At 46.8% G+C, this 27,389-nt stretch overlaps 1 long non-coding RNA gene across 2 annotated transcripts, besides 4 other annotated features; it reads left to right on the forward strand.

The window, feature by feature from the left end:
• Positions 181-700: an enhancer, noted in NCBI's record as "H3K27ac-H3K4me1 hESC enhancer chr8:38422268-38422787 (GRCh37/hg19 assembly coordinates)". NCBI's record gives its function as "activates a minimal SCP1, AML or CMV promoter by ChIP-STARR-seq in primed H9 embryonic stem cells {active_cell/tissue: H9 hESC(primed)}" and the evidence as "EXISTENCE:reporter gene assay evidence [ECO:0000049][PMID:30033119]".
• On the forward strand, positions 497-26,593 carry LOC105379384 (uncharacterized). 2 transcript variants are annotated; one of them, XR_949692.2, is made up of 5 exons: positions 497-2,293; positions 2,591-3,214; positions 10,609-10,689; positions 11,345-11,700; positions 13,272-13,929. It is a non-coding gene; the product is annotated as an uncharacterized LOC105379384 (long non-coding RNA). The 2 variants fall into 2 exon arrangements; XR_007060891.1 differs by lacking the exons at positions 497-2,293; positions 2,591-3,214 and adding an exon at positions 10,256-10,470 and having other exon boundaries at positions 11,345-26,593.
• Positions 701-1,219: an enhancer, noted in NCBI's record as "H3K27ac-H3K4me1 hESC enhancer chr8:38422788-38423306 (GRCh37/hg19 assembly coordinates)". NCBI's record gives its function as "activates a minimal SCP1, AML or CMV promoter by ChIP-STARR-seq in primed H9 embryonic stem cells {active_cell/tissue: H9 hESC(primed)}" and the evidence as "EXISTENCE:reporter gene assay evidence [ECO:0000049][PMID:30033119]".
• Positions 2,464-2,997: an enhancer, noted in NCBI's record as "OCT4-NANOG-H3K27ac hESC enhancer chr8:38424551-38425084 (GRCh37/hg19 assembly coordinates)". NCBI's record gives its function as "activates a minimal SCP1, AML or CMV promoter by ChIP-STARR-seq in naive H9 embryonic stem cells {active_cell/tissue: H9 hESC(naive)}" and the evidence as "EXISTENCE:reporter gene assay evidence [ECO:0000049][PMID:30033119]".
• Positions 2,998-3,531: an enhancer, noted in NCBI's record as "NANOG-H3K27ac hESC enhancer chr8:38425085-38425618 (GRCh37/hg19 assembly coordinates)". NCBI's record gives its function as "activates a minimal SCP1, AML or CMV promoter by ChIP-STARR-seq in naive H9 embryonic stem cells {active_cell/tissue: H9 hESC(naive)}" and the evidence as "EXISTENCE:reporter gene assay evidence [ECO:0000049][PMID:30033119]".
• Positions 26,594-27,389: the final 796 nt, after the last annotated feature.

Below are 27,389 nucleotides of genomic sequence, written 5' to 3' on the forward strand. Positions count from 1 at the left end.
TGCCTTTGGGGCAGATACAGGGAAACTTCTAGGCTATTAGGGGTGCCAGGAAGGGGAGTAGAGACAGGCGCTTTAGAAGGAAAGAAGCTCTGTTTGTCCTCTCTGCCCCTCCCCTATTCAAGGGCCTGGCGCCGCCTCCCTCATGAGGCCTTCCCTGACCACCAGCTGCCCCCCACCGGCCCCCCACCGGCCCCCACCGCCTCACCCCGCCACCGTCACTCCCTTTGGTTTGGGGGAGTGGGCCACTCCCTTTCTCTTTTAGGCGGGTCTGGAGGCCTGCGTGCTTGAGGCTTCCACATGCTTATGGGTTCAAAGCGGGAATGTAGGCGTGGGGGAGCCTGGCTCTGATCAGCTGATCCCAGGGCAGCCACGGCTGGCAAGAGGGCACCAGTTTTGAATTATGAGTTCTGAATGATGATGGAAACGACTGATAATAACAACCACATGATGGGGACCCACTGTGATGCCTTAATCCTCTCTCCAGCAGGCCATCTTAATGAGGTTGCGTTCTGTGGGGCAGGCGGGATTTTCAATGAGTGTCTGAGAGCCCCCACCTCCAGCTCCTCCTCCCACTCCTGCAGTCGGACGTGGCAGGAGACTTCTCAGCATGGCCTCAGCCTCAGCCTCAGCCTCAGCGGCAGGGTACTCAGAGGGCCTGGGGGAGGGGAGGCAGGAGGCAGAGCTCTGACACTCCGCAGTAGTACCACCCTTCCCTGTGCTCCCACCCATCGTGCAGGGGAGGCCTTGCTTTCTGGTCACCAGGGAAGCGAGGAGGCATCGGCCCAGGACAGTAGAGAGCTGGGGCAGGAAGGAGCCTGGGAGAAGCAGAAGTCAATAAGCAGCAGATCAGGAGCCATGTGGAGCAGCCTCCGTCTGCCCGGCAGCCCAGATGTGGCTTCAGTGACTGCCCAGGGCCTCTCTCCACTCCGGTGGCTGCTGTGCTCCTGCCCAGGGCCCACGGGTGCAGTAGCTGTGTGTCATCCCTGCCCTTCCTCCTCTCCCTCCCTGTCTCCCTCCTCCCTGCCTCCTTCCTGCCTTCACCATCTCTAAGCACCTACCTTTATCTCCAAGGAAGAAAGCTCATAGAATGACTATTTCCAGGGACATTTGAATTTTATGAGTGCTTCTCAAGCCCCAAAGGCAAAGGGAATGAAATCATATTCGTGGAATCTGACAGGCTGTTTTGGAGGGGACTAGAAGACAGGAGGGCCTCCTAGGCTCCATTCTGAATAGACACACCTAGATCATCCCTCCCTCCCTCCTTCCTCGTTTCTCTTCCAGGGGTTTCCCTGGGCTAGGCCCTGGGCTTGACACTGGGATGCAAAGGGACTGAGTCCTGGCCTGAAGGAAGGCCTCGCTCCTGCCAACCCTGCAGAAAGTGCTGCTTTTCCCAGAGGAGAGAGCAGGGCTCCTGCTGGAGATGGCGTTGGGAGTGAATTCTCTACTCTCTCATGGTCTGTCTGATGAGCTCCCTCTGGAGTCGGTTCAGCCCTGGTGAACCGGGGGTTCCCAGTCCCAGTTTCCTTAGAGTCAGCTTTGTCAGGGCTCTGGCGACTGTGGAAGGATTTGTGGCTAGAGGCTGAGCCCAGGGCCTGGTGGACTGACCGAACCAGGGCCTGGTTTAAGTGTGGTCAGGCTCCTGTGCACGCTCAGAGCTGGGGACAGGGGGACCTCTGATGTCCTCCCTAAGACACAGTGAGACCCAGAACCTCTCAGCTCTGTGCTCCCCTGGCTTTGGTGACTTGGAAAAGGCTGGTGAGGGGTAAAAAACAGAGAGTTTGGTCTGGCCCCAGGCAGGTTCCCTGAGCAGCTGCAGGCTGTGGCTTCTTGTTCTCTGTGGGCCTGAATGCAGCCGGTGAAGTGAGCCCTCAATCCCAGGACAGCTCTGCCAGCGCTCACCAGCCCCTGCACACAGTCCCACAAGGAGATTCTGCTCTGTCCTCATCCTGTCTCTGAAGACCCTTCCTCTCTGTGGCCCACAGGACTGGCTACATAATTTGCTAAGCCCAGTACAAAATGAAAATGCAAGATTCCTTCTTAAAAAATTAAGAATCTCAAGATAGCAACAGCAGAACATTAAACCAAGTGTGGGGCCCTTCTGAATGCCACAGAGCCAGCTCTGGCTGCCCAATATTTACTTCTCAAAGGGAGACTGTGGAAACATCATGGGAACAACTCTAAATGGGAATTCTCAGGCCCTGGTGACAGGCGGCAGAGGAGTTAGGCCCACCTGATACTCTCAAATTGCACCCTGGGGACTAGGGACCACCCACACCAATTCCCACCGTAAAAGGTAGCTTCTTTTGCTTTTCCTCTTTCCTGTATTCTGCTGTGGGTATTATTCCTGTATTTCATGTCAGGGGTACAAGGAAGGAGGGTGTGTGTGTGTGTGTGTGTGTGTGTGTGTGTGTGTGTGTGTGTGTGTTGGAGAGAGAGGAGCAGGTGGAGGAGGAAGGATGGGATGGAGTTTGGTTTTCTATTAACCTCTGTCCCACTGCTGTTCCTTCGGGGTGTGTTGTGTGCAGTTCTTGTTGTTCCGGTGACCCACGGCTCCAGGTACAGTCTCTTTCCTGCTTTCTCCTCTCCACAGTGGACCCTGCTCATCCTCCCAGCTGCTTGGAAGGGAAGATAAACACTGCAGAGTGCAGGAGCGCTCATGCTGAGAGCAGAGAGAGAGGTTTAATGGGCTTGTTATCAGGCACCTGCTGAGCAGTCCTTCTCCCAAGAAGACAGGACTCAGAGATAAATGACCTGGCCTGAGCAGCCTCCTGGTGAGAAGAGAAATGCCTGGAACAGGAAGTGGTGAATCCATAGACCAGGCAGGTCATAGGGGCAGGCAAAGATTTGCGGGGAGAAAAGCAGCCCTCCTTCTGTACAGTTGTCAACCATCCAAGGTACCAATCAATCTAGAAATATTTGCTGCAGGTCTTCTGGGCTCCCAGTGTTGTAGAGAATGCAGAGAGGTACCCATCTGGTCCCTGCCTCCAATGAGCTCACCATCTAGTTGGGAGACCCGACCAGCCTCACCTCCTTGAGGATTGGGGCTGCGAGCTGTTCACCTGGCAGGGCCTGGCCCATGGAGGAGACTGAAGAAAAACTATCAACTGAATGAATTAAACTGAAACACTGGTAGCAAGGAGTAGAAACAATGACCTCTTCAGAGTTCAGACAAGGAGATTCAGAATGACAAAAGAGAGCATTCAGCTGATTGAAGGTGGGACACTGCAAAAAAAAAAAAAAAAAGCCAGGCATGGTGGTGGGCGCCTATAATCCCAGCTACTTGGGAGGCTGAGGCATGAGAATTGCTTGAACCCCAGAGGTGGAGGTTGCAGTGAGCTGAGAGCCAAGATCATGCCATTGCACTCCGGCCTGGGAGACAGAGTGAGACCTTGTTTCAAAACAAACAAACAAAAAAGAGGCCAGGCATGGTGGCTAACACCTGTAATCCTAGCACTTTGGGAGGCCAAGGTGGGCAGATGACTTGAGGTCAGCAGTTCGAGACCATCCTAGCCAACATGGTGAAACTCTGTCTCTCCCAAAAAATACAACAAACAAACAAACAAACAAAAAACCTGGAGGTGGTGGCATGTGTCTGTAATCCCAGCTACTCAGGAGGCTGAGGCATGAGCATTGCTTGAACCTAGGAGCCAGAGGTTGCAGTGAGCCGAGATCGTGCCACTGCACCCCAGCCTGGGTGACAGAGTGAGACCTTGTCTCAAAAAACAAACAACAAAAAAAGAAGAAAGTTGGACACTATTAAAGAGATAGGTTTCGAGTTGCATCTTGAGGATTTGGATTGTGAGGAGCTGGAGAAAGTGGGGTGTCAGGCAATGCAGGGTAGAGATTGAACGCTGACATGTTGGTGTTAGGATGACATGGTTTAACATGATGGCTGAACTTGGAATAGCTGTGTGGCTAGGTGTAAGTCACTTAATCTTTTGAAACTCCATTTTTCCATATGTAAGATGGGGATGAATAGTACCTACTTCATAGGATTGTTGTAAGGTTTACCTAAAATATCCCCTGCAGGGAAAACACAGTTTTGCTGAAAATCCAACTCATAAAAGGCAGATTACCTGGAGAAAAGGCATACAAATTTATTGGATGTGTATACAGGGGAGCTTTCAGAATGAAGACCCAAGGATACAGGGCTAATTGTCCATTTTTATGCTCAGGTTCAATAAAGTATGGACAGTGGTGCAGAAATATGATGGACAAAAAAAGGCTGATCTAATGCTGATAGATTAGTTATTATGAGTGGGAAAACCCAACAAAGCCTGTCTAGATTCTTCTTGGCCTCTCTGAGCAGCTTCCTTTCCATCTGTGTATGGAGCAGGACTTTCTCTAAAATGAAGGTCTTATGACCTACAGTCAAACAAGGTAGGTCAGATAATTTCTTTATGGCCAGTTTTTACATGGAAAGGTGAAGGGAAAGTTGGATTAATGTTTTTAGGTTTTATGGCTGGTTTTGGGGAAAAGAGGTTCTAGTTTCTATGACCTGCTCTAGTTTCTATGGCTAAGTTTGGGGGTAGAATGGACTAAGTAAGAGACAGGAGAGCAGGAGAAGATCAGAGAAAAATGTTTGCTTTTTAGGTCTTTATTTTGGGGTATTGTTTTCTGAGTCCCAACACCTCCATAAAGCACTTAGCATGGTGCCTGGCATATAGTAGATGCTCAATAAAGGGTGACATCTTTTATTATTAACTACCAAGACATAAAGCAGGAAAGCTCAATAGGTTTGAGTGAAAGACAATGGTTTCTGCTTCACTAGAGAAAAATGGAGTTCAGGAAAAAGAAGGCTTTACATTTTATGATGGGGCTAGACTTGTCTTGAATGCCAGGTTTGGAAAATGAGGTTTTGTGGAAGAGGAGATAACAAGACTTAAGTGACTCTTGGGGATCTTGGAGGGTTATTCCTTTTCTTGTAACTAGTTCTGTCAAGTCATTCTCACATTGATATTAGAATATATATAGTGTCCCTTTGTGTGCACTGTACACTTTCTTCCAATTTTTTAAATTTTCAAATGTCATGAATGTCATCTAAATTTGTAAATAACCAGGAAATATTTGGGCTGCAAGAGCAAAGGGAGTATTAGAAATGAAAAAAAAAAAGAAAAAGGCTGAGTGCAGTGGCTCATACCTGCAATCCCAGCACTTTGGGCAGCTGAGGTGGGCAGTTCACCTGAGGTCAGGAGTTCGAGACCAGCTTGGCCAACATGGTGAAATCCCATCTCTACTAAAAATACAAAAATTAGCTGGGTGCGGTGGCGCTTCCTGTAATCCCAGCTACTCAGGAGACTGAGGCGGAGAATCACTTGAACCCAGGAGGCGGAGGTTGCACAGTGAGCCGAGATTGCACCACTGTACTCCAGCCTGGGCGACAGAGCAAGACTCTGTCTCAAAAAAAAAAAGACCCTAGAAATTTTAAAAAATTATGTTGATTCAAGAGTTTGCCTGGATTTTGCTTGCAGTAAGGGATAAGAAAGTATGAAAAGGTGTGCTGTTCCCAATTCTGCTTCCCAGTGGGGGCTGCCTGGGGAGCCAGGAGGAGCTCCTTGCCATTCTCTGAGCTCTTTAGAGTTGTAATACTCAAGAAAGGTATTTCTTTATACAGGACCTTCACAACAGGCCTCCTTTCTAGAAGGTGGCCTAGAAATAGACATTAAAATGTAAAATATGCAACTCCTTTGCCCAGGCATCTCTCTACTTCTGGGAATTTATCTTAAGAAAATAATCAAGAAGAATATCTGTTTTTGACTTGTTTAAAATAGCGAAGACATGAAAACAGCTTAAATATCCATTTACATGGTATTGATTTTTTAAAATGGAAGTTTTGGGCTGGGTGCGGCGTCTCACGCCTGTAATCCCAGCACTTTGGGAGGCCAAGGCAGGCAGATCACAAGGTCAGAAGTTTGAGACCAGCCTGACCAACATGGTGAAATGCTGTCTCTACTAAAAATACAAAAATTAGCCGGGTGTGGTGGGGGTGCGCCAGTAATCCTAGCCACCCAGGAGGCTGAGGCAGGAGAATAGCTTGAACCCGGGAGGCAGAGGTTGCAGTGTGCCAAGATTGCGCCATTGCATTCTAGCCTGGGTGACAGAGCAAGACTCCATCTCAAAAAAAAAATGGGACCGGGCGCAGTGGCTCATGCCTGTAATCCCAGCACTTTGGGAGGCCAAGGCAGGCAGATCACCTGAGGTCAGGAGTTTGAGTCTGGCCTGGCCAGCATGGAGAAACCCCATCTCTACTAAAAAAATTAGTTGGGCGTGGAGGCGCATGCCTGTAATCACAGCTACTTGGAAGGTTGAGGCAGGAGAATTGCTTGAACCCAGGCGGTGGAGGTTGCAGTGAGCCAAGATTGCGCCATTGCATTCCAGTCTGGGCAAGAAGAGTGAAACTCCATCTCAAAAAAAAAAAAAAGGAAATTTTATTCAATGAAATATTAAGTAAGCAGTTATTAAAAATTATGGCTTGAATCTATATGTATAACCATCAACAGTTATCCTGTGAGAGACTGTCAAAGAAAAATGAGTGTTTCAGGACAGTATATTTGAATGACCAAATTCACTTACATTTCATTTATATTTACATACACATTAAAATTCAGGAAGGCTATAAACCAGCCTATTATAGTGGTGATATTTGGGAAAGGGATTATGAGTAGATATTGGGTGTTTACTACAATATTTCTTTCTATATTATATGAATTTTTAAATAGATCTGATATTTCAGATTTGAAAAAAAAGTCCTTGCATCTATTTTGTGGGCTTGAAAAAAAAATTAGTAAATGGCTTGAAAAGTAGCTGATTTGAGAGTAAATAATGTGACAAGAGAGATACCAGAGAAGAGAAGGTGTCTGGATGTTTGGCATAATTAAAATGAAAATGGATTGTAAGAAAATAATTATATTCACTGTACAGTATTTTTGAAGATTGCTTCTATCAAACCTACAACTTGTGAGTAAAGCTAAATGTGTAATATTCACACAAATGTTATGAGGATGATTCATGTTGCTCCTCCCTCTGACTCCCTCTGGCTGCTTTAGGCTCGGGGGTCCCCTGTGAAGTCAGAGCTGAGCGGGATCTAGGACTCAGACGGTGCTCAGTGGCTCTGTCTGCCAGTGACACATTTCAAGAGGGCGGATCCCACAGCGAACTCAGGTGGCTGGTGGCTCATGAGAAATGTGCCACTCCAGTCCTTTGCCAGGTTCTTGTCTTGGCACCAGCAGACACCTTCAACCCATACCTCAACAAGCAGGTATTTAATTGGACACTTAGTACATGCCCTGCTGAGCTGAGGACATAGATCTGAAGGGAAAGAAGCATGGTTGGCCTCAAGGAGCCTGTAACTACCCACTTCTAGGGTGTGGGCAGAGCTGGCAATGTTAGAGCAGCAGTTCACATTGCAGGCTGCTGGCCAACCTGCCCATTACTGACTCAAGAGTGGCGAGGTGGGGGCAGCATTGGTGAGGATGATACCTATCCTAGAGATGACTAAGATGGGGCAGTATCTCACTCCTTGGTGGGGGCACCGTAGCTGTGATTTCTGAGGCAAAGATGTGGTCCCACTGGGAATTGGAATGTCTGAGGTCGTGTGAGGCAGCGTGTTGACTAAAAGCAGGGGTGATGGAGACTGACCAACTGGGGTTTGATTCCTGGCTCTGCTGTTTATGAACTGTGTGGTTTTGGGCAAGTGACATAAGCATTAAGCTCTAATTTCTTCACTTGTTGAAAAAAAAAGGAATAACAACAGTATGAGGTCATATAAGTGAAGCACTTTGCATCAAATTTAGTCTGTTTAATAACTTTTTCATGTCAGCATCATTGTGCCCATTTTACAGAAAGGGAAACTGAGGCTTACAAAAAAGATGATATCTAACTCCAAAGCTCAAGCTCTTGCTTCTACTTCTGTACTTCTACTTCAACCTCTATCCCAACTTCATTCTGACACCCACTTCTTCTCCTATCTAGACTCCTAAACGTGTCTCCTGTCCCACCCCTCTACACTCCGTGCATGACTGTATAAGGCTATGGTCTATACGACTACATCATCTTATTCACCCTGCTGTTACGTTGTGTGTGAAAGACAAGCTTGAACTCTGGTGCCCTTGAACAGGGCATAATTAGGAGACTAGAAAGAAGCATTGGGGGGAGTCCAAAAAGGAAAGTGAGAATAAAATGATGGCTTGGGAGAGATGGCTTCTAAAAAACAGAAGAACAATAGCATGTGTGGCACTGAAGATTCAGGAGAAATGTGGGAAAAGGCTGTGTTTTCTGAATGGAATGGGAGCCTGAAGGACTGGATTCTGAGGAGCCTCCCATATCCTCGGCTTGGGAGAGAACGGGTAGGTGTGAGGTGGACAAGGAAAACCAGGTGTCCTGGAGCACCGTGCAGGTAAGGTGTGCCCTGAGAAGGGGAGTGCTCAGCAGACCAAGGACAGGCAGAAGCACTGACAGAAAGGGGACAAGGCTGGAGTCTAGTGACGTCGCATCCCCAGCACTGGAATATCCCAAATTCTAAGGTCACACAGGGATATCTGCATGGGGAATAAGGTGTTATGAATGGATTATTTTTACATCTCAGACTTATCAGGATTTTATTTCAGAGCTCGATTCTTCCATTTTCTTCTGTTTCTTCTGTCATGTATTCATTTTCTCTGATGTCATGCAAGCAAGGACCTCTCTAGGAAAGGAATATACAAATTCGCTTCCTGTCCAGGGATCCATACATATATAGCTGTTATTTTTTAAAATAAGGATTGTTCAGAAAGTTTAAAAACACCTGCTCTTAAACTAGCCTGTGTGTGCTGTTGGTGACAGTTCCCTGATGAAGGAGTCGTGCCGAAGGGAAGGATGATGGTGCAGGAGAGAGGCCTCTCGAAAGTCAGTAGGCAGGGGATGGAGGTGAAAGGGTACAGCTTGGAGTCCTTGGCTTGACTGGAAGAGGGTTTTGCTGGGAAGGCAGGTATGGCTGTGGGGTTTATAGAGGCTTAGGATAGTGTTTGACTTCACCCCTTCTCACTATGTGCTGGCATGAGAGCCTCAGTTTCCTCTTTAAGTAGAGATCACAGTAACTTACACAAAGCAACTGACCCATGTTCGGGTGGAGACCAGCTACTCAACAAGAACAGGCTCTCGGCTGGGTGCTGTGACTCACAATTGTAATGCCAGCACTTTGGGAGGCCAAGATAGGAAGATCGCTCAATCCCTGGAGTTTGAGACCAGCCTGGGCAATATAGTGAGACCCTGTCTCTACAAAAAAAAAAGAAATTTAAAATTAGCCAGGTGTGGTGGCATGTGACTATAGTCCCAGTTACTTGGGAGGCTGGGGTGAGAAGATCACTTAAGCCTGGGTGGTGGAGGCTGCAGTGAGTCATGATTGTGTCACTAGACTCCAGACTAAGTGACAGAGTGAGACCCTGCCTCAAAAAAAAAAGAAAGAAAAGAAAAAAAAAAAGTACTGGCTTTCCTCCCCTTTAGGGGATTCTCTGAGGCCAGTGTATCTGTGTGGCAAAAATCTTGCCTCCTGAAATGCTTGAAAACCAGTGAATAGTCAGTCAAACTGCAACATTATTGCCAGCGTCCTCCCCTGCCGACTCCTGCTTTCTGGCAAGGCCTACCTGGCTGACTTCTTTCTGGGCAGGTGTGATGGCAGGCAGCAGATGGCCGAGGTATTTTTAGCAACCTGCAGAGGATGACGTATGTGACTCCCAAGGCCACATACCTGAACCTGTGCTTATCAGACATATGTGCACAGATTCAGGGTGCAGTGAAGAAGAAACTTCAGTAGGATGATGTCAGGAAAGCCCTCTTCCTGGGCCAGACAAAGCCTTGGCTGGACACAGAGGTTGAGGTCCCAGCCTTTGGAAGTTGGTTTCTGAAGGTGCCACATTCTCACATAGCTCTGTGGCTTCACACGTGCCGTCTCTCCCTACACTGCTTGTTCTTACGTCCTGATTTCCTACCAATCTTCCCAAACCTTTTCCTGACACCTTCAGGCAGAATTCAACACCTCATGTGGGCTGCCATATCACCTCTGTCACAGTTGTTAACATTGACTATTGCAGTCATCTGCTTTTTTTTTTTTTTGAGACGGGAGGCTTGCTGTGTTGCCCAGGCTGGAGTGCAGTTGCGGGATCTCAGCTCACTGCAAGCTCCACCTCCTGGGTTCACACCATTCTCCTGCCTCAGCCTCCCAAGTAGCTGGGACTACAGGCACCCACCACCACACCCACCTAATTTTTTCTATTTTTAGTAGAGACGGGGTTTCACCGTGTTAGCCAGGATGGTGTCGATCTCTTGACCTCGTGATCTGCCAGTTTCAGCCTCCCAAAGTGCTGGATTACAGGCGTGAACCACCGCACCAGGCCAATCATCTGCTTCTTAAACCAAACTGAGACTTTGCTGGGGCCGGGGCCGTGCCTCATTCGTGTGTGTAGTGCCAGGACGTTGCACAGTACTTGGCAGATGGTGGGTGTTGATGAATGAATACATTATATAAATTTGTCAGTTTTGTGACATCTTTTCCTTCCTCTTAGCCCCCACAAAGTGCTCTATGATTTTGCATTAATTTCTTTTTAAGTGAATTTGAATTGCTTTTGTTTCAAGAATTTCACAGCCACCCACTGAAGCCACTGGAGATCTGAGGAATCCCAAAGACAAGAATGGGAATCTCTCCCTTACCCTCAGGTTAGGAGATGATTGTCCCAGACTTCTGTGTTGTTAGCAGGATTGGGATAACCCAAGGTGGGTGTTGGGGCTCAGAAAACAATAGCCTCCAAAATGAAGGCCTCAGAAGCAAAAGTTTTCCTCTGGTCCTCTCCTGCCCTCCTGGCTCTGCCTCTCATTCTCCCCCGAGGCTGGCCAGGGAAACTAGAATCCCTCTTTTCCATGGTGGGTCATAGAAACCAGAACCCATTTTCCCCAAAGCCAGCCATAAAACCTAAAAATGTTACTCTAATGTTCCCTCTGCTTTTCTGTGTAAAAACTCGCCATGAAAAATTATCTGATTGACCTTGTTTGACAGTAGGGCAGAAGACCCCCTTTCCAGAGAGGGTCCTGCCCCACACCCAGAAGGAAGAAGTGGTGCTCAGAGAGGCCAAGAAGATTCTAGACAGATAGGCTTTGCTGGGTGTCCCCAGCCCCCAGCCAGTCCATCAGGATGGACTTTTTTTCCAATCATATTTCCACATGGCTGTCCATACTTTGTTGAACTTAAGCATAAAAGTGGACAATATCCCCTGTATCTTTGGGTCTTCATTCTGAAGGCTCCCTTGTATACACGTTAAATAAATTTACACGTCTTTTTTCCAATTGATCTCCCTTTTGTGCGTTGATTTTTCAGAGAACCTTCAGAAGGCCAAGGGTTTCCCTTGGCCCCTAGGTGGAGGTAACCCAAACAGCATGTGTCAGCTGAGCACTGGGCCTGACCTGCCCTGGACGGAAGTTCCTGCCTTGGATTGGCCACTGGACCTGCCCTGGAGGGAAGTGCCTGACCTGGATTGGCTGCTGTGGGCTAGCTGGGCTGGGGCTTCCACAGAAGAGCTGCCTTCTTGAAGGGTTAAAGCATCAGCTCCAGGAAATCAGGGTCAACCCGTGATCTCCCATTAGGGTTCAGGTGATGGTCTAACCTGCTGTGCCTCCTCCATCATGGGCTTGATGAACACTGACTGGATTTGAATGCCCAAAAGTCTGGGACTGGTATGAACCTCTTCTTCCCCCAGGGACCTCATGGGGAGGCCCTATCAGTGTCCAGCAGATCAAGGCAGAGTGGCTGGTGGTAGCCTTCAGCTACGCTTGGAGGCCTCCACTCTCGACTGGTGTGGCACTTCTGTTCTGGTTGCTGAGCTGGTCGGCCATCCTATGGACTCGAGAATAGATTGACTCGGTCTTCATTGCCTCTTGGGGAGAGGGGTGGTCAGGATTTTCTGGAGTTAGAGTTTTAAAGATGCCCCAGGGAGGATGCCTGGAGAAACGTTTGTCAGAGGGCGTGCAAACCAGAGCAACTCCATCTTGAATAGGAGCTGGGTAAAATGAGGCTGAGACCGACTGGGCTGGATTCCCAGACAGTTAAGGCATTTTAAGTCACAGGATGAGATAGAAGATCAGCACAAGATACAGGTCATAAAGACCTTGCCTATAAAACAGACTGCAGTAAGGAAGCCAGCCCAAACCCACCACAACCAAGATGGCGATGAGTGTGACCTCTGGTCGTCCTCACTGCTACACTCCCACCAGTGCCATGACAGTTTACAAATGCCATGGCAATGTCAGGTTACCGTATATGGTCTAAAAAGGGGAGGCATGAATAATCCACCCCTTGTTTAGCATATCATCAAGAAATAACCATAAAAATGGGCAACCCGCAGCCCTCAGGGCTACTCTGTCTATGGAGTAGCCATTCTTTTATTCTTCTGCTTTTTTTTTTTTTGAGACGGAGTTTTGCTCTTGTTTCCCAGGCTGGAGTGCAGTGGCACAATTTCGGCTCACTGCAACCTCCACCTCCTGAGTTCAAGCGATTCTCCTGCCTCAGCCTCCAGAGTAGCTGGGATTACAGGCATGTGTCACCACGCCCGGCTAATTTTTGTATTTTTAGTAGAGATGGGGTTTCTCCATGTTGGTCAGGCTGGTCTCGAACTCCCAACCCAGGTGATCCACCCACCTCGGCCTCCCAAAGTGTTGGGATTACAGGCATGAGCCACCGCACCTGGCCCTATTCTTCTACTTTCTTAATAAACCTGCTTTCACTTTACTCTATGGACTTGCCCTGAATTCTTTCTTGTGCAAGATCCAAGAACTCTCTCTTGGGGTCTGGATCAGGACCCCTTTCCTGTAACACAATGACCATTTTAAGGAGAGGGCGTACAGATTGCAAGCATGGGAAGAAAAATAAGAACTTAGCCCTAACCTAGACTCTGAAGGAGGCTCCTTGTGACAGTCTTGGAGCCTGATTTTGCAGAGCCTGGTTCTCACTAGGGCACTAGCACCTGGGGCATGAGGACGCGCCTGAAGTACTGTCCTTGGATTTTCCTCATTGCATCAACAAACTGAGATACCAGAAGCTCTGAGAACATGTTACTTCAGAGATTGAAATTATAGACTCGTAGCAGTCAAATCGGCTATTTGCAGTAATAACTATTCTAGCGTGGTTGGAAAAGCCTAGTAAATGTTGCCCTTGTTTGAAATCTTCCCCTGATCCCCACCCTGCCACCTCCCCAGTGCTGAACAGGTTGGGAGGCAGAGTGACTATTTTCTGTTTGTTTGTGTTTCAGAGTCAAGCTGTCTGGAACTACTGTCTGGAAGAGCCTCTTCCCCATCCCAGCAACTGTACCCATCAATCAGGAACTGTTGCTGAACCCAGGGCTGCCTGGATAAACATTTATAAGACCCAGAGGGATCATTAGTAGAGGGTAGAGGATGTCTTTGCTTGAACCCAAGTCCAAAACTGAACTCACCCTTTGCCCTTTAACTCATAGAAATTCAAATGAGGCAAAGGTGAGGAGAGAGAACAACTTAAATCAGTGGTTCTCAACCTTGTCTGCACCTTAGAATCTCTAAGGAGCTTTTAAGAATTCAGATGCGTACACTGTTCTCTAGAAGGATGGAATCAGAATCTCTGGGGGTGGAACCCAGGCATCTGTATTTTTCAAAGCTCCCCAGGTGATTCCAATGTGCAGCCAAGGTTGAGAATCATAGACTCAAATAGTGCTTGGAGTTCCTGCTGGTCATTCTACCCATGGCCGAAAACCCTGGGGTGAAGAAGTGGAAGACCTGATTCTTCTATTTCTGTGGAGTTCCTTGTGTTTTTCCTGTAATGAGCATCTCTCCATGCTGAGTGCGATTTTTGGGGTTTAAGATCTGTATTTCAGCTGAGAGCAGTGGCATGCACCTATAACCCCAGCTGCTTAGGAGGCTGAGGCAGGAGGATCGCTTGAGCCCAGGAATTCAAGGCTGCAGTGAGCTATAATTATGCCACTGTATTCCATCCTGGGTGACAGAGCAAGACCCTGACATAAAAAAAAAATCTGCATTTCACATATAACAAGGCCTTGGAACTTCATCTGATTCAACCAAAGCCATGATGATCTCTGCTGTACATTATGGGTAATTTAAGGGATTTTCAAGTGCAATGTTGGCCATATGAAATTTTGCTTTCATCCAAACTTTCAAAGCTAAGCCCTGCATGACATCCCTGCCTTCCTTTTTTCAGTGGACAGAGCCATTCCCCGTGGCCCTGCTGGCAATCCAGGCAATGGTTGTCACCCTCTTACATTCCCTCAGCCCCTACATTGGTCCTCAGATCTTCCCAATCTTCCTCTATACTCTCTGCACCTGCTTCAGGTGAGTCCTTCATCTCGAATCTATTACCATAACCTCCTAACTGGCGCCCCTGTCCCCAGCCTCATTCCCCTGCATTCCATCATCTGCCTGCCTTCTGGTGAACAAGGCAGATACGAATTGCCATGTAGTCCTCTGCTTACAATTCTTCAGAAGCTTGTGATTGCTTTCCTAAGGAAGTTGAAACTTCTTTTTTTTTTTTTTGAGACGGAGTTTCGCTCTTGTTGTCCAGGCTGGAGTGCAATGGCGTGATCTTGGCTCCCTACAACCTCTGCCTCCTGGGTTCAAGAGATTCTCCTGCCTCAGGCTCCCGAGTAGCTGGGATTATAGGCACCCGCCACCACGCCCAGCTACTTTTTGTATTTTTAGTAGAGATGGAGGTTTCACCATGTTGGCCAGGCTGGTCTCGAACTCCTGGCCTCAGGTGATCCGCCCGCCTCGGCCTCCCAAAGTGCTGGGATTACAGGCGTGAGCCGCTGCGCCCAGCCAGGAAGTTGAAACTTCTTGACATGACCTCCAGTACTCTGGTGGTCAAACACCTTTGCAGCCTCATCTCCCTTCACATCCGCTTAAGGACCTACATTCCTACCACATAGAAGGTGCTTTCCCCCAAGCCTTTGCTTATGTGCTCTCCTCCACTTGGTATGCCTTTCCTTTTCCTGGTGGGCTACTTCTTTTTTTAAAAAAATTTATTTATTTATTTTTAGAGCCAGGGTCTTGCTCTGTCACCCAGGCTGGAATGCAGTGGTGTGATCATGGCTCACTGCAGCTTCAAACTCCTGGGCTCAAGTGATCCTTCTGCCTTAGCCCCTGAATAGCTGGGACTCCAAGTGCATACCACCATGCTCAGCTGATTTTTTTTTTTTTTTTTAAGACAGGGTCTCTCTCTGTCACCTAGGCTGAAGTGCAGTAGCATGATCATGGCTCACTGCAGCCTTGACCTCCCCGGTTCAGGTGATCCTCCCACTCGGCCTTCCAAGTAGCTGGGACCACAGGTATGTGCCACCATACCAGGCTATTTTTTGTTATTTTTTTGTAGAGACAGAGTTTCACCATGTTGCCCACACTGGTCTTGAAGTTCTGGCCTCAAGTGATCCTCCTGCTTTGGCCTCCCAAGGTGCTGGAATCACAGGTGTAAGCCACCGTGCCTAGTCACTGGTTAGGCTACTTCTAACTTGTCTTTTTCTTTATAGCCAGTCTATGTGTCCCATCCTCCCCTTTCTCCAGGCTGCATCAGGTGCCTGCTGACCGTGCCCCTCCTCTGTGTGTGGCCAGAACATCCAAGGCCCTCAACCCGAATGATGAGTACTGATTCTCCCAACTACGTTGTGAACTCTACATTGAGGGCAGGAGCTGGGTCTTACCTTTCACTGCACCCTTGGTGCTTGCACAATTCCTAGACTAAAGGAAGCCTTTGTATCCAATGCCTGAACTTGCTCCAATATTCCCCAACCTTTTACCCCCTTTTGCTGATTGGAGACCTGGTTTTGACCTGCTTGGCTTGTGCAAAGCTCTGAGAGAGGAAAAGTTTGGCTTGGGCCCCCTCTCGACGGAATCTTTCCATTCCAAAGTTGTTTCTCCTCTCTTTGAGGCTCCTTTTAACCGTTCCCAATTCCCTCATTCCCAGGAACTCTTAAATTCTTTCTCCCCTTATCAAAATACTCTTTCAGAATAAGTACATTCACTCTGGAATACAACTGCTGTTTCCTTTCCCAGGCTTATATGTATTTTAGCAGAAAAAATTCAAAGGAATTAATTTCTAATTGTGGAAATTGCAGGCCATAGGAGGAGAAGGCAGAGAAAAAAATTTGAGGGTGAATCAGCCTTCTGCAGAGACTTTCTTCAAAGACTTTCATGCATCCTCTTTGATTAGAGGATTGGAAAAGGGCGAAGCTTACCCATCTTCTGCAGGCAGCTGGAAGAACAAAGAGAAGAGAGATTTTTCAAGCATGGTTTCTCTCTTGGCTCATCCCACACACATCCCTGTGGGGACTCTACATAGGGAAGGTGTGTCCCAGGGCTTGCCAAAGATGGAGGTCATGACAATGAGATCTGCCCACGGAATTATCACAGCAAAAGGCAAGGAATCAGAAATAAGAAAGCCAAGAGTATGGAATCAAAACATGAGACTGAGGAGGTAGCAGTCAGGTCCCCGCCGTAGGTGTGGGAGGGAGCAGAAGGGAGACAGTAGTCACCAGGGAGCAGAGAGAAGACAGGTGAGTCCTGGGAACATAGACCACCAACCCGGGCAGCCTAGAGTGTGCCTTTTAGGTGAGCTGTGGCAAGATGCCCCTGGCTGGGTGAGACCGTGTTTGGGGCAGAATTCAGGGCTCCCATTCTGCAGATGAGCAGAACAGACATCTGTTTCATACCATTTCTGGCTGAGATGTGACCCAGGCTCCCTAGGGGCTGTGATTCTTGGGACATGGCGACCACCAACAGTGGCTAGCCTAGTACCTTTCACAGCAGTGGGCTGAGTGCTTCCTGTGATATTAGCCACTGTGCAGCACTGGGCAGGGTTCATGTTATCACAGGTGCAGAAGTGCAAAAAGTATATGGGATTCACCTCCAGACTTCCAGCCAGTGTCCAGTGGCCTTTGAGTCAGGTCGTCAAGGAACTTATTCCTGCCACATGGCCCCTTCATCAGAAGTGTGTGCAGCCACTGGGCTGTGTCCAGTTTTGGTCACTCATGAAGGAGCTCTCAGTCCTGCTTGGTACCTACTCTCTCCTTCAACCACAGCAGTTGCAGTTTCCTCCACCCCATTCAGACGTAGGAGACTTAACGTGGCAAATAGGCAGGGCAGCTTCAAAGGGTTCCACAGAGATCCCTCACTTTCCTTTCCCCTATATTCTCTCTCTCTCTGTCTCGCTCTCTTTTTTTTTTTTTTTTTTCTTAGAGAGAGGGTCTCACTCTGTCTCCCAAGCTGGAGTGCAGTGGCACAATCATGGCTCACTGCAATCTCCAACTCCTGGGCTCATGTGATCCTCCCACCTCAGCCTCCCAAGTAGCTGGGATTACAGGTGCGTGCCACCATGCCCGACTAAATTTTTCTATCTGTTTTTTTTTGTTGTTGTTGTTTTTTTTTTTTTTTTTTGTAGAGACAGGGTCTTGCTATGTTGCCCAGGCTGGTCTTGAACTCCTGGGCTTAAGTGATCCTTACAACTTGGCTTCCCAAAGTGCTGGGATTACAGGTGTGAGCCACCAAGCCCAGCCTTCTCTATATTCTCTTACATTTGCTTAAACCCCCTAATTCCTTATTAGGATTTCATCCCTTTGTCTCAAGACGCTGTCTCTTGTGAGGATGCAAATATCCTAACATCCTCCTCAGTCTTTTTGCTGGTGTATGCTTGCCAGATGCTAATTGGGGCAGGTTTTCACCAGAAAGGGGCAGAGGGAGGGTGGAGTCGGCTGGGCAGCAGGTGGGAACAGGTGGCTGAAAGGGTATGTGGGGAGCATGAAGGCCGAATACATGTACTTTCCCATCATCCTCTAGCAGTGATCCTAGTTTCTGAAACCCAGCCAGGAGATCTGGGCTGATGGAAGATTTTTGTACCGATTCCAAATGTGAGGGGCCATTTTTGAAATTGTAGCTTGGATGCTGAAATGTTATAATTTCCAGGCCATTTGGATGATTTATGGGGTCAATATATCATTTGAAATGGAAACTATTCCAGAACATCCAGGCTGCTTGGTGGCCAGTCCTGTGGTAGTGAATGACAGAGGGTCCCTCTGATAGTGGCCGTCTGCTGACCTGTCTAATCCTTTATTCTGTAAGCATTTAGTGGATGGGGGGCATGTGGCCACCAGCAGTCCTGTCCTGGTCAGTGTGACCCTCCTCCCAGCTCAGACCATGGCTCAGCCCTAACAGGAACCATTGCTCCCCTAAGAGTTCAGCAAAATGGGTGAGAATCCAGGAGCTTCTCTGCTGTCCTTGTCTTGTGGTCTCATTATGAGTTTTTCTTTTGTGGGAAGGAAAAGAAGAAAAGAGGGAGCGAATAAAGTACTAGGTGGGGCAAGAAACCAGCAAAACACAAACAGAGAAGGGACACACTAACCAGAACCCCTTTTGAACTTCTTGGAAGAGACCTCCAATGTCTGGTTTTCTGCAAACAGCCTGGGACCAGCCTGAAGTCTATTTTGCATTTCTTAGGGGAAAGGCAGGGGTTCTCCAGTTTTCTAGTAGAGAGGGATAGAATATAAGACATTATGAAACATTATGAAATGTCCCACGTTTCTATCTAAGTGTCTCCTACACTTGGAGGCCTGAGGAAGGTCTGTATACCCCCTTACACCCTTGCTGACAGATTCCATCTCTCCATAAAGAGAGTAGTACAAAGCCACTCTGTGCACACACGCACAAGCCAGTCTTGCCTCCTGAGCTCGTCTCGCACTTGCTGGCAGGATCAGGGTCTATCCCTCTTCATTCTCCCCTGTGGTGCCTAACAGGCTGTGCATGTAGCAGATGCTCAGTAAACTTGGCCATGGCCATATTAGCTTTGTGGCAGCTGCAGAGGCTTTGATTTTGAAGGTAGGAGGGACCTCCCATCACGTGATCTATGCTTTCTTCAGAGCAGGGAAGCTGTGTGATTGTAATCAGGCGGGAGCCGTGCTATCGAATCCACCTGTGTTTCCGTGTGACCTTGGTAGAGGTACATTGTTTTTTTGCCATGTCCCTTCCTGACCCCGCAGCCTCTGCCGCACACCCGGGCTCTCCCATCTGTATACAAAACGCTCCAGATTCTGGGATGAAACACAGTCCTGTCCAGGTGCAAATGATTGCTCCTTTATTACTGCAGACATCCTCCCTTTTTCCTTTTAAGTAGTCTTTGAAATTAAACTAAAAAGGAAATATTTGCACAGAGATTTCCCCAAGGCCATTTTCAATACACCTGGTAATCAGCACCGACTTTCAAAAACATGGTTATTATTGCCTTAAAATTATTGCGTCATTTGACCAAAACCCTCTTGTGAATGTTTCTGATGAAAATTTTTTATTGAAAATGTTTTTTAATGAGGCAATTTTCCTCCCTTCTCATCGGAGGGGCAGAGCTACCTCACTGTGGCTGTTTATTTAAATGGTGGAAGACTTCCTTGACTACATCACACACTTTTCTTCTGAGGGCCTTCAGATGGTCTCTGTTTGCATCTAGGGTGAAATTGAGGCACTGAGGATGGGGTGGAAGTTGCTGTTAAGGTCTTCACCTCCAATCCTACAGTGACCAGTCCTGGAATAAGGCAAGGACCTAGGTGTCCTGAATCACCCTTTGCTTTTTAGGTAAGTACCTTTGGAAAAATTATGATAGAGGAGAGATCTATCTTTACCAACCTCAGCCTGCGTCATCCTTAGAAAGGGTGTTTCATAACTATGGTAGACCTTGTTAACTTTTGACTGTGTAGTATTTTTCATTTCATTTTTTTTTTCAAGTAGCATTGCAATATCCTTTTGGGGAATTTCCTGTTTTCTACTGGATACTGGGTCAGTCGTGATCATTAATCAGATGCCTGCTGTTCTGTAGGCAAAAAGCAGGCACTTGAGTTTAGTGAGGCTGTTGGGCTGCCTGTACTTATTGTTCATATTTTCACAGAACTCTCATTAAACTGGATTATTTGATGTCAGCTTAGCATTATCAAATTTAGCAAATAAAAATGCAGCACCCCAGTTAAATTTGAATTTCAAATGAACAACTAATAATTTTTAATTTTTACTTTTATTTTTAATTTTTAGAGACAAGGTCTTGCTCTGTTGCCCAGGCTGGAGTGCAGTGGCATGATCGTAACTCACTGCAGCCTCGATCTCCTGGGCTCAAGCAATCCTCCTGCCTCAGCCTCCTGAGTAGCTGTGCAAATGCAAGACACCACACCCAGCTAATTTTTTCATTTTTTGGAGAGATGGGGTCTTGCTATGTTGCCCAGGCTGGTCTCAAACTCCTGGGCTCAAGCAATCCTCCTGCCTTGGCCTCCAAAAGTGCTAGGATTACCATTGCAAGCCACTGTGCCTGGCCCAACTAATAATTTTTAAGTGTAAGTATATCCCCCAAATTGCACAGGCTATGCTTATGCTACAAATGTATTTATTGTTTATCTGAAATTCAAATTTAACTGGGCATCATGCATCTCATCTGCCTACCCTATCTTTATGCTGAGATGCACTCACTCTTGGGAAATGTTTAGTTGTTGTTGCAGCAGCGAAACGAAGCCCAAGCAAGCCAATGTTGCTACCACAGTTGTCTTACATGCAGACGTTGGGTGGGAACGGTGTCTATGCGGTCCTATGGCCCTTCTGAAAGACTAAAGGGGCAAACTCAAAACAAAACCATGTCCCTTTTAGTAAAGGAGAAGCAGGCCAAGGACTCTGTGGATTTGGTCAAGTTCCACAACCAGACGTGGAAATGATATAGAGGTTTAGAGCTGTGCTCCAGGATATGAGGAAGGGATTTTTAGGAGCAAAAGACCCATTAGATGCCTATTAAAATATTGGTCAATGAACCAGAATATTATGAATTTTCAGTTTTAGGGCAGCAGTGAGTGAAGCTGGGAGAATTCAGCTGGAGCTTAGGAAGCGAGAAGGCTGAGAGAGGCCTCTGGTTGGTAGACGGTGCTGGGCAGGCCAGTCTGGGCTCTGGGAGAAACCAGAGATGAAGCCCAACTGACGCTGGAGCCTCAGCCAGGGTCCCCAGAGCTAGGCCCCTCCAGCGAGTCCTGTCACAGATGGGAGGGGTGGCCACTGGGCCAGATAGGGGGTGCTCAGCTTTGGATTGTGGGTGTCCTCTGCAGATGGGTCTCCAGCTACCCAAAAGGCAGGGAAGACTTTCCTCCCACAACCCTCAGATGACAGACTGCCATGCCATCACATGGCGGGACACACTGAATTCACAGGAGTCTTTTCATTTTTTAATTTATAATTAAAAAATAGAGATGAGGTCTCACTATGTTGCCCAGGCTGGTCTTGAACTCCTGGCCCAAGCAACCCTCCTGCCTTAGCCTCCCGAAGTGCTGGGATTACAGGCGTGAGCCACCATGCCTGACCAGGAGTTTCAATCTGAAGGGGTCGGTGCCCCAACCCCATTTGTTGTTCAAGGGTCAACTGTACATTCCCAGTATATTTATTTGGGGGGTTAAATGTGTGATTGCTTAATGTAAACATTTATTATAAACCCTTCTTTTGGAGATATGCTCAAAACCTGGAAGTGGCCTTGACCTACCATGACTTGAGGGGCCTACCATTTAGGGGAGAGCCCCCGGGGACTTATCCCAGCAATCCCACCTCCACTAAGTTGCTGAAAAACAGTTGAGAACCTAAGTCAGGTATATGTTTGTGGCCAGCTAAGACCTGGTATGGTCTAGGCCCTCCCCAGTGACTCCCCCAAATTTCTCTGCTTGCCGATGCCTGAAATGAAATTCTTCGACAAGGGAACACTTCTCTTTCAAGGTGGGGATGGTAAGGAAAGGGTGGAGGACTTCAGGCACCTGAAAATTGGATCCCAACTAGGGGGTACATATTTCAGCAGAAAAAGGAGGCTGGATCCAGAACACAGATTTCAGAGTCTGTGTAAGTTACCCCAGGCTGTGCGGTGCCGTGGGGAATGCATAGACCTGAGGGCTCCACTCCCGGGCTTGGTCCTGGCTCTCTCATGTTCTAGCTGTGTGACTTCAGTCTAGTTACCTGACCTCTCTGTGCCCCAGTTTTCTTAGTGAAAATGAGGATAATAACAAAATCTTCTTTATAGGTTTGTTATGAGGAACTAAATAATACATACATAAATGTATTTAATATATATGTTAAGTATTTATGACACAGCCTGGCACAGAATAAGAGTTATGTTAGAGCCAGCTGTTAATATTTGACCCCAACTGTTTCTTTGTATTTGACCCCGACTGTTTCTTTGAAGCTGTCTGCTTTGGTACTTCAGTCTGCAACTCTAAGGCCACCAGCTGAGTCTCATGTGATTTAGGAAGATTTGGGAGAGTTAGTTTTATTCTTCTTCTTCTTTTTTTTTTTTTAACATGCTGACTCTCAATGAGGGAATACCATTCCCAGAAGATTTTTAATTAATTATCTCTGTAAAACTATGGCAAAATGCCTTCTGGGGCACTTGCATATTGCTAGATCAAGAAACCCTGGGTTTCAGAATCAAATGCTGGGAAACTTTAGGCATCGTTTCATTGGTAACATCCCAAGTGCCCTTTGGGTACTGGAGTGATGGCTGGGGCTGTGATAGCTTAGGAGACAGAGTTAGGATTCTGCGGGGCTGGGTTACACTAAAGGTTCTCGCAGAGGGGAGAGCTGCGCCTAGTTCTAGAGCAGTGGCTCCCAAAGCCTGGTCCGAGACCAGCAGCATCCATCTCACCTGGGAACTTGTTAGAGCTGCAAATTCTTGGGCCCATCCCAGACTGACTTAATTAGAAACTGTGGGCTGAGCACGGTGTCTCATGCCTATAATCCCAGCACTTTCAGAGGTTGAGGTGGAAGGATAACTTGAGGCCATGAGTTTGAGACCAGCGTGGGCCACATAGTGAGACCACATTTCTACAACAAATTTTTAAAAATTAGCCAGGCATGGTGGTACGTGCCTGTAGTCCCAGCTTCTTGGGAGGCTGAGGTGGAAAGATTGCCTGAGCCTGGGAGGTCCAGCCTGCAGTAAGCTTTGATCACACCACTGCCCTCCAGCCTAGGTAAAAGAATGAGACCCAGTCTCAAAAAAGAAAAAACAAAAACAAAAACAAACCTCTGGGGATGAGCAGCTTCAGCTTTAATAAGTCCTGTAGGTGATTCCGATGCTAGCTCAAGTTTGAAAACCTCTCTGGTCTATAGGATAAGTCAAGCCAAGGTTCAAATAACCAAGGTGAAGTCAGAGCCAGGAGATTGGAGGAAGCTAAGATAGAATCTGAGCCAAATCAGAGAATGGAGGTTCTGGGAAATTGCTCTGCACACTGGTGGCTATTTTCAGCTACCCTTCATCTTCTGCAGGTGCAGCTTGGGAGTGGGTTGGGCTAATTTCCAGGGCCAGAAGCAAGAAGACAGGTAGGGAAGTATTTGCAGGCTTTTCTGCAGGTCATTCTGACCCCTTTGAAATTACAGCTTGTGGTCTGTTACTCCTCTGCATTCAAAAGGATTCATCTTTGTCAGTGCCTTTCTGGGAGAGTGGGCCTGGCTTGGAGATGTCACTGTGGATCCAGGATTTTGCCACTGGGTGAGTCTAGTCCCCTTACCCAATGCAGCAATCAACTCTGCAGCATTCTCAATAGCAGGTCAGGGATCCCCGTTCAACACTAGAATTCAACGGAATGCATTCTATTTGTTGGCAAGTACTTCCTTTGGATGGCCCAAAGTGCCTATCACCTTGCAGATAGTAAGTGCTCGCACATATTCATTGAAACAGTAAGTGGCTTGTATTGAACAGACATCTGATCCTTTCAACTGTCTCCCTTCTGGTTCTAACAGCGGTGGCTGCAGCAGCACAGGACCTGTCCACCCTAGCTTTCATTTGAAGGTCCCATTTTGCTTCCCATAGTCTCTTCTCTAAGAGAAATGTATCCTTCATTTCTTCCAAAGTTCCTAGTATGAATTGCAGACCCAGAAGACTGCAAGTGAAATGACTAACAAGCAGAGAGATGAGAAAGGGGCCCAGAAAATTAAATTGTGCATAAAATTAAGGAGGCTATGTTGGGGTACAGAAGAGAATGGGCAGCGGTAGAGCTAAACATGAGGCTGATGAGACAGGTAAGTTAGGATTGAAGCTCACAGAGGCAGGGCGATCATGGACAGCTCTTTTTCTGTGGGCCCTATGTGTTTCACCAGGGCCCGGAGGATTTGGGTAGGAGTTGAGCAGGACTAGTCAGGGTCAGGTTGAAATGACCGTCACTAAAAGTCCCAGATTCTTGGTCCATGAGTTGCAGCCGAGTCAGGACACAACAATCCTGTGCTTCACCATTGGAATTTTGGACATAACTTTAGGGCTTTCCCTCATCCTCATTAAATTAAATCTTGTTGATTGTAATCAGCCAAAACCATTTGAACCTCATTTCTGGAGAGTGTTATCTATCCCTTTCAACTTTCTGTCATGCATCAAATGTATAAAGTGACTTTTTTTTCTTTTTCATTTAAAATTTTTTTTAGAGACAAAGTCTTACTCTGTTACCCAGGCTAGAGCACAGTCATGCAATCATAGCTCACTGCAGCCTTGAACTCCCGGGCTCAAGAGATCCTCCTGCCTTAGCCTCCCAAGTAGCTGGGCCTATAGGCACAGGCCACCACACTTGGCTAATTTATTTTTTGTACAGATGGGGTCTTGCTGTGTTGCTCAGGCCAGTCTTGAACTACAGGGCTCAAGCAATTCTTCCACCTCAGCCTCTCAAAGTGCTGGGATTACAGATGTGAGCCACTGTACCCAACCTATAATCTGACTTTGATCTCTACATCTAAATAATTGACAAAATGTGACCAAGCAGCTCATTAGTGACTGCTTTTCAAACTGAAACCTGTACAAACCATCACAATTGACTATGGGCTATTCAACTCGCTGTTTGTTTATTTATTCATTTGTTCATGGGTAAAATGCTGTGCTGTTCAGGGGATGGTGGTATCTTGCCCTGATGGTGCTTGGGAGGAGGACTGTCTCTGGGAGTGCCTTCTGTGTCCACAGGCCTTTCTAAGGAAATGGTCCTGATGGAGGCACCATTAGCCACAGTGTTTCGCACCGTGAGACTCATTCTTCCTCCAGCTGCACTTGATTGAACCTGACTCAAAAGCAGCCAACTCATGGGCTGCCCATGGCCTGTGGGAGTCTTGGGGTGAGGAGCTCTGCCTAGATGGGGTGAGCTAGTCCAACCAAGTACATATTCCCAGGGATTTGAATTTAAAAAATGGAGAGGCCCAGTGTTTTAACAGAAAGAAACTGAGGCTGACATGTTGCCCAGAGAGGCAATAAACTTATTAATATGAGGTCATGAAGTGCCTGAACAAACAATGAGGAAGCTTATTCATTTATTTATTTATTCATTCATTCTAGACAGGGTTTCACTCTTTCTCTCAGGCTGGACTGCAGTGACATGATCAGAGCTCACTGCAGCCCGACCTCCTGGGCTCAAGGGATCCTCTCACCTCAGCCTCCTGAGCAGTTGGGACTACAGGCACACACCACCATGCCAAGCTAATTCTCTTTTTTTCTTTTTCTTTTTTTTTGTAAACACAGGGTCTTGTTATGTTGCCCAAGTTGGTCTCAAACTCCTGGCTTCAAGCAATCCTCCTGCCTCAGCCTTTAATTTGCTGGAGGATCAGACGTTAATTTGTCAATATGGTGAACTAATATAATTTGGGAATTCTTCTGATACAAACAACTGGAAATCCTAAATATGATATAACAAATATCCCTTTAAACATATAACTGAACATGTAAAAAAACTAAAAGAAATTCCCACGTTCAAAATTAAAGAGTAAACTGAAAAACAGACTGATAAATATGTGGTCAGAGACTGTGGCAGCCCTGGTAGGAGCACGGCTTGTTTTCAGACCTGGTGATGGCCAAGGGTTGGGTCTGAACCTTCTCAGGGACACAGCCTTGGGCCTGCTTCAGGCAGAGGGGTTGGAACCAAGGCTCTTGCTTAAAGTCAGAATCATTTGTCAGCCTCATGCACAGTAAACTAATGGACTAAAATACATTCATTCACCAGCAGAAGGAGACAGCAAGGAGGCCTATCTGCTATGACTTGGGTCTGAATGGGAAGAAGGACCCCCTGAGAATTTGTAGTCACAGCCTGTACCTTGGCTGAGTTTGGTTCTAATTTATACTATCTGGGTGGCCAGGAATCCTCCAGCTAAGACTTTAATGTTAAAATGTCCTAAGGCTGACACTACTGACGGCCTGGAGAGATGGGCAGCAGCAAACACAAAATCCCACTGGAAGGACACACCCTGATCCCTGGCTTTAAAGGATTTCCACAGATGGGATTCTGCTGGATGTGGCTCAAAATTTAAAACTCACTGGGAAACAATCCATCATTAGTGTGTATCAGTGGCCATGACTAGTAACTTCTGAAAATGGAACTACTAGATAGAAATTCATAAAAGTATATGCTCAAAAAGATTGAAGACATAAATGAAAGTAATGAAAAATGTAAGAAAAGAGAAAAATATGATGAAAAAATGACAGGCACATGAAATAAAAAATATAGGCACCAAAATTAAAATATAATGTTGTATAAAACAGCACATTTATACAAAACAGAACATAAATAAACTTAAATCTAGAATTAAAGAAATTGTCCATAATTCATTGCAAAGGTTTGAAAATATATAAAATGTAAAAAAGATGTTAAGAGACATGAAGGATGGACTAAAAAGGTTCGCTATGTATCTAACAGAAGTTCCAGAAAGAAAAATAAAAACAATGAGGCAAAGACAATATTTTAGAGGAAATGGTTGATAATTTTCCAGAGTTGATGAGAGACATGAATCATAGATTCAGAAATCACAGGGGTCACAGGCAGAATAAATCAAATGAAATAATAACCAGACACATTATGGTCAAAATGCAGAACCTCAGAGACCAAAAGGAAGTCTTAAAAGGAACCAGGGCACTCTACAAGGGGAGAACAATTAGACTATCATCAGATTTCTGAATAGTCATAATAGAAGCCTGAAAATCATGTATCAAAATGCTCAGAATCCTAGTAAAAAAAAAATTTTTTTTATACCTCGCTAAACTATCACTTAAGAGTGAGTGCAGGCCAGGTGCAGTGGCTCATGCCTGTAATCCCAGCATTTTGGGAGGCTGAGGCAGGTGGATCACTTGAGGCCAGGAGTTTGAGACCAGCCTGGCCAACATGGTGATGCCCTGTCTCTACTAAAAACACAAAAATTAGCAGGGCATGGTGGCATGCACCTGTAATCCCAGCTACTTGGGAGGCTGAGGCTGGAAAATTGCTTGAACCCAGAAGGTGGAGGTTGCAGTGGGCTGAGATCGCTCCACTGCACTCCAGCCTGGGTGACAGAGTGAGACTCCATCTCAAAAAAAAAAAAAAAAAAAAAGTGAGTGCAAAATAAAAACATTT

The sequence above is a fragment of the Homo sapiens genome, chromosome 8 (assembly GCF_000001405.40).
Source record: "Homo sapiens chromosome 8, GRCh38.p14 Primary Assembly".
In the NCBI taxonomy this organism is placed as follows: domain Eukaryota; kingdom Metazoa; phylum Chordata; class Mammalia; order Primates; family Hominidae; genus Homo; species Homo sapiens.